This window comes from Homo sapiens, chromosome 13, assembly GCF_000001405.40.
Source record: "Homo sapiens chromosome 13, GRCh38.p14 Primary Assembly".
Classification (NCBI taxonomy): domain Eukaryota; kingdom Metazoa; phylum Chordata; class Mammalia; order Primates; family Hominidae; genus Homo; species Homo sapiens.
Window position 1 is genome coordinate 62,446,507 of NC_000013.11, and position 11,908 is coordinate 62,458,414.

The following is an 11,908-nucleotide window of genomic DNA, read 5'->3' on the forward strand; positions in this document are numbered from 1 at the left end:
ACCACACATTTGTAGGACTTAGAGGACCATACATTAAAATTTATTATCAAGTTATATTTAAGAGAATACTGGCCGAACGCGGTGGCTCACGCCTGTAATCCCAGCACTTTGGGAGACTGAGGCGGGAGGATCACGAGGTCAGGAGATCGAGCCCATCCCGGCTAGCACGGTGAAACCCCGACTCTACTAAAAATAAAAAAAAATTAACTGGGCATGGTGGCGGGCGCCTGTAGTCCCAGCTACTCGGTAGGCGGAGGCAGGAGAACAGGGTGAACCCAGGAGGCGGAGCTTGCAGTGAGCAGAGATCCCGCTAAGGCACTCCCGCCTGGGCAACAGAGCCAGATTCCGTCTCACAACAAAAACAAACAAACAAACAGAATATTGAACTAAAAATAGACCATTATACCAATGAAACAGAATACCAGAAGAAAATTTTTTGACCCAAATTCACATAATATATAAAAAAAAAATCAATTCCACGTGAATTAGAGCTCTTTATGTGGACTAATAAAGTTCCTTTAAAAAAAGAAATCATGATATGAGTTGGCTCTGTGTTCCCACTCAAATCTGATCTTGAAGTGTAATCCTCACATGTCAGGGAGGGACCTGGTGGGAGGGGATGGATCATGGGGATGGTTTCCCCCATGCTATTCTCATCACAGTGAGAAGTTCTCATGAGAGCTGATGGTTTTGTGTCCAGAATTGGTGGGTTCTCGGTCTCACTGACTTCAAGAATGAAGCCATGGACCCTCGGGTGAGTGTTACAGTTCTTAAAGACAGCGTGTCCGGAGTCCGTTCCTTTTGATGTTCAGAGTTTCTTCCTTCTGGTGGGTTCCTGGTCTCACTGCCTTAGGAGTGAAGCTGCAGACCTTCACAGTCAGTGTTACAGCTCATAAAAGCAGTGTGGATCCAAAGCATGAGCAATAGCAAGATGTATTGCAAAGAGCTAAAGAACAAAGCTTCCACAGTCTACAAGGGAACCCAAGCGAGTTGCCACTGTTGGCTTGGGCAGCCTGCTTTTATTGTCTTATCTGGCCCCACCCACATCCTGCTGATTGGTAGAGCCAAGTGGTCTGTTTTGCCAGGGTGCTGATTGGTGCCTTTACAATCCCTGAGCTAGACATAAAGGTTCCCCAACGCCCCACCAGAGTAGCTAAATACAGAGTGTCGATTGGTGCATTCACAAACCCTGAGCTAGACACAGGGTGCTGATTGGTGTGTTTACAAATCTTGAGCTAGATACAGAGTGCCGATTGGTGTATTTACAATCCCTGAGCTAGACATAAAGATTCTCCACATCCCCACCAGACGCAGGAGGCCAGCTGGCTTCACCCTGTGGATCCCGAAGCAGGGATGGGGTGGAGCTGCCTGCCAGTCCCGCGCTGTGCGCCCGCACTCCTCAGCCCTTGGGTGGTCCATGGGACTGGGCGCCCTGGAGCAGGGGGCGGTGCTCATCGGAGAGGCTCGGGCCGCACAGGAGCCCACGGAGGGGCTGGGAGGCTCAGGAGTGGCGGGCTGCAGGTCCCGAGCCCTGCCCCGCGGGAAGGCAGCTAAGGCCCGGCTAGAAATTGAGTGCAGCGCGGGTGGGCTGGCACTGCTGGGGGACCCAGTACACCCTCCGCAGCTGCTGGCCCGGGTGCTAAGCCCCTCATTGCCTGGGGCCGGCAGGGCCGCCGGCTACTCGCAGTGCGGGGCCCGCCAAGCCGACGCCCACCCGGAACTCCAGCTGGCCCGCAAGCGCCGCGCGCACCCGTGGTTCCCGCTGGCGCCTCTCGCTCCACACCTCCCTGCAAGCTGAGGGAGCTGGCTCCTGCCTTGGCCAGCCCAGAAAGGGGCTCCCCCAGTGCAGTGGTGGGCTGAAGGACTCCTCAAGTGCCGCCAAAGTGGGAGCCCAGGCAGAGGAGGCCTTGAGAGCGAACGAGGGCTGTGAGGACTGCCAGCATGCTGTCACCTCTCGGTTTTAAAGTGTCACTTCGTCAGTCCAGCTCTGTCTCTCTCCTGTCGCCTTGTGAAGAAGGTGCTTGCTTCCCGTTCCCCTTCTGCCACAATTTTAAGTTCCTGAGTCCTCCCCAGCCATGCAGAAAGGTGAGTCAACTAAACTTATTTTCTTTATAAATTACCCAGTCTCGGGTAGCACCTTTATAGTAGCGTGAGACTGGACTAATACACTTAGCAAAACATTTCATAGTTTTGGGATTGGCAAAATTATTTTTAAACAGGTTAAGAGAAAAACCAATGACAATAATTACCAAATTGGTTCATATTTATATTGATTTCTTTTCAAATAGTATCATTAGGGATTCTAAAGCAAGTTAGAAAGGGAAAATTTCGCAGTATACGTATCATAATCAGAATTATGAATATGAAAATTACAGTAAGATAACAATATGTGCCTACCTTAATCACTGAATTTACAAAGACAGAAACTGCTAAGTGTTGGCAAGGATGTGAAGTAACTGGAAGTCTAACTAATCTATTTGGGAAAAACTGTTATTTCCTAAGGCTGAACATATGCTGACCTTATGAAGAAGCATTTCTACTCCTGAATATTAAACATATCTCCATATATGTGTAACAAAAGATGACACAAGTGTTCAAAGGAGAAATGTCTGTAATAGCCCCAAATGTCATTAATAGTAGAATAAATACTACTCTTTCTAGCAGTAGTATATAATAGTAGATAAATACTACTATCCTACAACAGAATGGATACAGCACAATAATAAAAATTAATCAAATACCCCAACATACCACAACATGAAGAAATCTCACCAACCTAATGTTGAGAAAAATAAGCCAAAAAAAGCATACATGCTTAAAATTCTATTTATATATTAAGCAAAATTAGGTAAAACAAATTAATTTGATAGAATTGGGATAGTGGTTATCTTTAGGTAAGAGAGGCAGGTACTTCTCAGCATAAGAATAGCTCTGGGCTCTGATATAATTCACTTACTAGTGGCAATATTTATATGGAACTAAAATACTTACTTGCCTTTAAGATGGGAAACAGGAGAGGAAATAGCACACCATGAATAATACAAGCATGTCCCAGGCACTCCTCATTTGGTATATACATGATAACAAGAAACTAGGCCGAGTGCGACCAGACTAACTCAGCTCAGAGAATCTCTCAGATTTGGGGCTCTTTAACATTAATGTTTAGTCTGTGCCTTCTGATGTGTGTGTGTGCATGTTACTAGTTAGTCTCAAGGTTATATGATTAGCAGCCACTCTTAGGCACAGTTGTATCTATTAAATAATCCTAGTTACTTAGTGCCATATTAAATGACCCCAGTACAGGTGCTTGATTTGGTACATGAGATTGAATTTGACAATCAACACCATAAATAGTTTAAGAGGGGTTAAACTATTTATACTTTAAGAGGGGTTAAACTATAAATAGCCAAGAGTTAAATCCTTAGACTTCCCTGAGGCTAGATAAAGACCATCTATTTATTTTTCTTTTCCAGGTACATAGTACTTGATTTAAAAATTGTTTCAGTTATAAAAAATATTATTATGAATATAACTTTAAAAATTACATTTTTTATTAAAATGATTTGTATGTTTTGGAAATCAATGGTTCTACTATAAACAAATATGAGTGGTTCATATTTTGTTGTGTAATAAATTATGTTATATAATTTAGATTTACATTAGAGGAACATGATTTTTATTGTCTATACACTAGTGTTAAGATATTATTTCACTTTTAAGAGATGGGGTTTCACTCTGTCACTCAGGCTGGAGTGCAGTGGTGTGATCACAGCTCACTGTCACCTCAAACTCTTGGGCTCTAGTGATCCTCTCACCTCAGCCTCCCGGGTAGCTGGGACTACAAGCACATGCCTGTAATTTTTTCTTATTTTTTGTAGAGATAGGATCTCATTACGTTGCCCAGTCTGGTCTTGAACTCCTGGCCTCAAGTGATCCTTCTGCCTCAGCCTCTCAAAGTATTAGGGTTTCAGGCTTGAGCCATCACATCTTGCTACTATTTCATTTTAATGTTGACAAAAAGTCTTTAGAACATCACTGTGGCAATATTTAATCTGAAAAATGTTTTGTATCAGCTTTCTTTGATAACCTTGCATAAGGTATTTTTATAGAGGTTACAGTTACTGAGAAGTGCATGCAGTATAGTAATCTTTTCAATATATTACCATTTTATAAAGTGTCTCATTGGACAGAGTGGAAAAATTTTATATCGAGTATAATTTTTCAATCAGCATACTTTGTAAATCTCTATAGGAGAGTCACACATTTTTATAACAAACTCCTAGCTACAGAGAGACACAAAACTTGTTTTAATAAGAGAAAAGCCCATTATTCAACTAAAAGCTGTTTACCGTGTATCCCCACACTTCCAAAGAACTGAGAAGATTCTTTCTTTATCACAGCCCTTCTTCTCTACGCTTCTTGATTGCTTTAGCTGTTGTCACTAGTTATCCCGGTGAGGGAATTCTGTCCTGGTTGTTCCTCTGTCCTCACGTTTGACAACCATTGTTCTGGCATCCCTTCTGTTTAGCTCCTTCTTGCATTCGCAGATATATCACACTTTCAGTGATAAATTAAACAGTGACCCTGCACTTTGCCTCTTTTTCTTTATCTAAGTATCTGCCATTTTTTACTCATTTAATGATACCATATAGCAAAAGGTGTGGAAATGATGGGACAATGTGTGTGGGGAAGGAAAGTGTGTAATTTGAAGAAGGCAGACATGCAGAAAAAAAAAATCAAAATAAATTCAAATGTTTAACAAATGTATTTGCTTAGGAAAAATATCCAGAAGAAAGTCAGCAAAATTTTCCCTTTTTGGGGTCTGAGAGATCACCATAATTTTATTTATTTATTTTATATGTATCTGTCATTTATCCTTCAAGTATTATCCATGAGAATGTATTTATACCTGATAGTTTTTAAATAGAAATGTGCATAAAATTGATGTTAGTGGACTTAAACATAATTTGACATTATCAAAATTTCAAATCTGATGGTGTCTCTATCTGATTTCTCTGCTACTACCTTCTTTTTTTCTTTTTCAACTTTTCTTTCTCTCATTTCCTAACCACCACAAGGTCGAGCTGAAAGGGAAAGTTACGAGACAGCAGATTGATGACGTTGTATATTGGAAAGAGAGAAATGAAGTTCATTTACTCTAGCATGACGTAAAGTTTAATGAGCTTAACAGAGGTATATGAACTTGAGCAGCAGCCTTACCTGTACTCTTTCCGTCTCATTCACCACACTCTTGAAAACCAATAATTTATAAAATTCTGTTAAATAAACAGATGAATGTTAAAAGAAATGAAGGTAACTGAATTATTTGAACATTCAATACAAAGGCTAGAAAGCAGGACCACGAAATGGAATTCTAGTTATGTGAATGCTGATGCTGTGTGCCAGCATTTGAATTGGTAGATCTCTTCATATTAAATCTTTTTTACAATATTCCATCAGAGAACATTCTACTTCAGTTCAGGTTAGATTAAGCACACCACCTTTGCTTTGGCTTTTTTTGGTATTCTTATCACTTTAAGAAATTATTTTATTATTTACCTATTTCTTAAAACATTAATAATTTTCTACTACATTTCATATTTTAATTTATTCCTTAAAAAGTTAAGTGTTTCTAAAAAAAAAAAAAAAGAAAACCAGATGCTTTATATCTCTCCTGTTTGATCATTTGACGATCTAACAAAATGTTTAAAAGGAATTATTTAGAAGGCATATCAAACCTTTGCCTTGAATGTTCAAGCTCACTTTGATATGTGGATAGATCTAAAACAGCCATAAAAATCACATACGCCAAATGATTCAGCTAGTTATGTTTAAATTAAGATATGTGTGCGTGTTTCAGACTAAACTAAAAAATATTTAATGAAATATTTAATTATTTTTCATTGCCTCAAATTATATAGGGCATAATAAATAGTTGTTTATAGTATAAGGGAATAAAAATAGAGGTAGAGAATGACTGTCAACATGAGCATAGTAATTGCCGTTTGTGTCTTCAATATATGCATTGAACTATATCATATGATGATAGTGTTAAGAGACAGCAAGATGATTAAATGTATTAAATATTTTTGTTTTCTTTTTGTAGTACTAGGCACTAAATACCACTCATATGAAGTTATTTCAACATTCTTTGGAACACAACATAGTTTTCTTCATTAAATTTGACTACCCTCATAGCAATTTGATTTTTTATAGAATAAAATATTTCAACACATCTACATAGGGTACTTTAGGTTCACTTTTTCTGTGTTTTTCTATAATTGACAATTTGGCTATAAAGCAAATTAAAACAAAACAAAACAATGCATGATGATATTTTTAAAAATTGACTAAAATAATCAACTTTCATTTCTGTTCTAGCTCAGGCAGGTGTAAGCCAAATCTCTTTTATCTAAATTTATAGTGATTTATTACTTTCATTATTGTTCATAACAATGATCTATTCAAATTTCTTTTTTTTTCCATTTTTGTTCTATTTAAAATTATCAAATAAAGAATCAACTTAACTTTATATTCTTGAAGTACGAAGTGATTATTCACTTTCATTTATCATATTCATTACCAGAATTAATATGTTCAGGAAGTATTTTCAGATTCGAGTATTGAATTAAAAACATTTACCCTCTAAATCTCAACTAGCTGAAAAATATATCACTATTGTAAATGTTATCATTAATATTCTTTTTTAACTTATTGATTATCTTTCAAATTTTATTTATAAGTGTCAGGTATTTTTCTGCCTGTCACAGTCGTTAAATAATGTTTCTAGCACTATAACTTTCTCTCATGAAGTGAGTTAAGTATCTCATTTAACTGTAAATTTTCTTAATATTAAAAAAGTTAAAGAAGGAGCCTCTCTTGATAGAGTTTAACTTCTCAACAAATGTTATATTTAATAAATAAAAGACAAAATTTATTCTTAATGTCAACTTTAGACAAAAACAACACTAAAAATATGTAAGGAAGATAATGTACCCCTACTCTCAAAAGCAAAAAAGACTGCTTGTATAAGAGAATTTGGGAACGTTGTGTACATTTTTGTCTTTGTTCCAGCATCTATAACCATGCCTGGCACATAGAACAAGCTCACTAAATATTTAAAAATAAATTATGTAATCTCAAATCAGTTTACCAATATCCCTGGAAGAGTATCTGCTTGTGAGATAATTTAGCAAACTACTTCAAAAGCATAGAGCATTATCTTAGAGCAACATTTTACACAGAAGACGTTGGAGAAATATAACATGACATTGTAATATATATTACAATATAAAACACAAAATTTATACTAGTTTAAGATCAAATAAAGGTGACATCAGTTCATTTTATGTTGTTTGCAAATCCCTAGCTATGACTCCCATTGGCTATTATGTGCACAAAATACAGCAGCAGAAAGTCATTTTACCCTTATCAAAACTATCACAAAGAATAAATATGAACTATGTGCTTTGATGCAGTTCCAAAAATAGATCGATACATAGAACCTATGCAGATATGGGAGGGGAAGAACATTGTCAGTACAATGGAAGCTCTACATCGGCCCCTCTGTGATCAAATCTCCCCTTTCCCTCAATGCCCACAACAGTAATAATAGTCCTCATGAATTTTTTCTTCTTACTGCTTTTGGTTTTTCATTGTTTATATTTGTCTAAATATGGAAAATATAGTTGTTTTATATGTTTTTGAAATGTAATAAAAGGTATATTATTAGTCAGGGTTCAGCAGGAGAGGGAAATTATACCACTAGTTTGAAGAGCTCTTGAAAATTAAAAGTCAGTTACTAAAAAGGTGCAAAAGAGAACTCTAAACAACACAGAGCAAATAGAACAGGTAGCTGTTACTTCTGGAGCTAAGGGAGACTGAAAAAGGAAGGACATTAGAATATGGAAGAGGAAACTCCCCCACCAAAAGCTGAGATTTATACTTCATTGGAGAAATGTGGCTGCCATAGATACATGCAGCCTACCAGAGGGAAAGCAGCATGAAAAATAAGAAGCTTACAGAGTGGCAGAACAACTCACAAAAAGGTGTCAGCAGAGCATGGCTAGTCTACAGAAAATGGCCCAATAATGGTGGGGATTCCCACTAGAGAGCACAGGAGAGGAAAAGCTCTCAATGAGGGACACTAAGGTGAGGACCACGGAAATCCAACATGCTGATCGCGGGCAGGCCCATCTTCAGAAAAAGCACTGGCACCAGGAAGAGAAGCTCCTTTGCTATTGCCACTGATCTTTGCTATTGCATCCTCTATTAACAAGCCTATGATTGTGCCAGCTGACAAAGGAGAAATGTTCACAAAGTGCAGCTCCAGTGTCAGGGAGTAGCTCCAGTACCAGGGTTAGAAAGCAGATTTGGGTTTGAGAATCAATACAACACACTAATATGGGCAATAACTGTACACTAGATGTACAACTTTACACTAGAGGTACACTAGTGTACAACAAATACACTAGATGTATTCTTATGAAACTACTGTGTGTACCCTATGTGTGATATTCATCCCTCTGACATGGGTGGCCCTAAGCCACTTTTGCTGTTTTTCGGATTCTATTGTATGAATATATCTGTGTTTCATGAGGTTGCACATTCAATGTCACTGGAAGGCTCGCACCCCCTTCTTTAAGATACAGAAACATTTCTCTTTCTTACAATTAGACTTAATAAACTTAATACACTATATCCACTTAAATAAATAAATAAATACACAAAATATTTGATAACCTCAGGTGTTACCTAAATGAGATCTTTTGCCTATGTTTATAAAAATAGCTACCATTTAATAAACATTCTGTACTAAGAAACATAACAAGACACTCATTAATACATTTTTCTTACAAAACTGGTATATTCTGAATGTTTGTGTCCCCCCAAAATTCATGTACTGAAACTTAATCCCCATTGTGATAGTATTAAGAGATGGGAACTATGGGGGGCTTAGACCTCACAAATGGGATTAGTACCCTCATAAAAATTGCCTGAGTATGTTTGTTTGCCCTTCCATCAAGTGAGAACACAATATAAAGGTATCATCTATGAAAAAGCGGCCTAACCATACACTGAACCTGCCAGCACTTTGACTTTCGACTCCTCAGCTTTTAGAATTGTGAGACATAAGAGTTCCTGCTGTTTATAAAACACTCAGTTTATAGTATTTTGTCACAGCAGTGCACATGGACTAAGACAATAAATCTCATAATAGTTTCAGTATTAACAATACTATATTATTCTATTTTATATATCAAGAAATTAAGAAACAGATTAACTCACTTTCCCAAGATGTCATAGCTAGTAAATATGAAGAATATCATGAAAAGTATTTAGCTCACAAACTCATGTCTTTAATCATTTTGGCAAATTGCTTTCTTATATCACCCTTTGCAACAGGTGCTGACATAATAATTTGACCCTTCACTGTCATGCTTTCCATCTTGGTACTATTAATAAAAATACATATTTTTATTATATGACTAAGAAGATTTCTTTTAGTGGAAATGTTAATCTATTTTCCTTATTTTTCATTTTTAATTTCTGTTTTGCCCATTTTTACTATTAATTGGTTCTTTTTGTTAGTTTGAGAGAGGGCCTCACTCAACTCAGGCTGTAGTGCAGTGGTGCCATCATGGTTCATTTCAGCCTTGAACTCTTGGGCTCCAGCAGTGCTCCAGACTCAGCCTCCTGAGTAGCTATGATTACAGAAATGTGCCACCACACCCAGCTATTTTTTCTTATTTTTTTTTTAATTTTTTTGTAGATACAGGGTCTCACTATTTGCCCAGGCAATGATTTTAGTTTTGATTTTGAGAAAATTTTTCTGTTTTTTTCCCCTTTTTAAAATTATGCAATCATGTATTTGTGATTATTCCTCTCCTCCCTCAGTGCTTTGGAACTGTTACATAAAAACATTTGAAGTAGATTTGTATTGATCTAATTGAGAGTTTACAACAGCTATTTTCACAGTGCCTTTGTCAGTCTACACTTATTACCAATAATTACCTTTTCTCATTTAAAAGAGAAACAAAACAACCGTAACAAAAACAACGGCTTAATATTCAGCATGTTTTCCTTAACAAATATATTTTACTTTGAGGCGAACAGAGTTTCATTCTCGTTAAATTTGCTTAGTAGTGTATAGCAATTTAATGTAGACCGATTACTTATATTAAAAGAAACCAAATATTCTAAAATATACTAATTTTAAGTGTTTGTTATTATATTCACATTATTCATCAGAACAACAAAGTTTTTAAATGTAATTAAAATATTCTAAGTAATGAAAATGTCTCAAGAAATAAATTAATGCTGCTATAAGGTTTAAAATAATCGTATTATTTAAGCACTGGCCATTGTTATTTAAAATATTACATAATTAAAGGTCTGTACATTTTTGTTGTTGTTCATAGCTTGAGTTAAGGCTTGACTCAAGAGCAAGATTACTATCATGTATATAGTTTTTATCTAATCACCAGTTTTGTCACCATTTTGATTCGCTCATCAATGTCAAATAGTGACTAATTTGAAATAGAATAACCAGTAGGGAATTTCTCCCTTCTCGAGACCAAGAGTTTTCAAGTCTTTCTTACGTGACTAGATAGAAAACAAAGTCGACTTTGTAGCCCATAGGGTTTCTGGTCTCAATACCTCTGCCACAGTGTGAAAATAGCCATAAATAATACATGAATGAATAAGTAAGGTTGTCTTCCAATAGAAATTTATTTATGGACAACAAAGTTCTAATTTTATAGAAATTTTATATGTCATGGGATATTATTCTTTTAATTTTTGAAAAAATATAATAAACACTCTGCTCTTGGATCATACAAAATCAGGCAAACTGTATCTAGTTTGGTTGTGGGCAGTAGTTTCCTGACCACTGCCTTAGATAAATAGAAAAAACTTGTTTTTTGTTTTTTATTTTTTCCTCTCCAAGCCAGTATAGGATATTTCTTGAGTGGAAGGTCATTGCATTAAAAACAATCATAACATTTTAGAATTAAAGACACTTATGCAAAGATGTAAGTATTCAGCTCACTGAAGACACTTTGCCCCAGTTCAGGATGTGATACTAATTAGGAAGCACTTCAAATTAAGAATTTCTATTCCACATTAGTACTAAGATTTTTCCTGAAGAGAAGCCAAACTATTCTCACGAAACTCTCTGAAGAAATAGCCTTCAATGTAATCTGACTCGTTTTTTCTTTGAAAGTAAAATGGATTATTCTTCAGCTTTCACCGTTTACGGCTAATTGCCATTTGATGTTCAGATGTTTTATACTACGTGTCTTAGAATCCATTATATTTTAAATGTAATAAGACATCAGAATATCTTATTATATAAGTTTCAGGTAAGTTGGCTTTTGAAGGATAATCGTGGTTTTGTATTTGACTCTCGCTTCAAGAATTCCTTTTAGAATATAAATTTCAGTTTGCTCTTTCCAAGTTAGGGTTAATTTTAAGACCATTTATTTGAAGGTGCCCTTTTGTTCAGTTTTGAACTCCGGCTAATAAAAGGTATTTTACTTTATAAAAATTCCCCTTAATAGTTTAGCTACTGGGAGAAACAGAATAGAATATGTTAGTTTAAGAATTAACACAAGATATATGGAATACCTGTCATTTTTATTTCATAAATTGTCCATTTATTCATAAAGATGCTACTATCAGCCTTATTAACTTGCTGCAAATTAGACAAATTACAGGACGTTCTAGTGCCCTTCCAGACATCCTACTTTGTATCATCATGCCTTGGGGACTGTGAAGTTATTAACAACTTAAACTTCATCTTCTCAGAGCCAGTTTATACCTAATTATAACAAAACATGCTCAATTCCCTATCTGAACTTACCATCAATATTGTTAATAGACCTGTTACTTTTTACTTCACTAAGTA

At 36.2% G+C, this 11,908-nt stretch overlaps 1 annotated feature.

Annotated features, from left to right (window-relative positions):
* Positions 1,504-2,004: an enhancer, noted in NCBI's record as "H3K27ac-H3K4me1 hESC enhancer chr13:63022143-63022643 (GRCh37/hg19 assembly coordinates)". NCBI's record gives its function as "activates a minimal SCP1, AML or CMV promoter by ChIP-STARR-seq in naive H9 embryonic stem cells {active_cell/tissue: H9 hESC(naive)}" and the evidence as "EXISTENCE:reporter gene assay evidence [ECO:0000049][PMID:30033119]".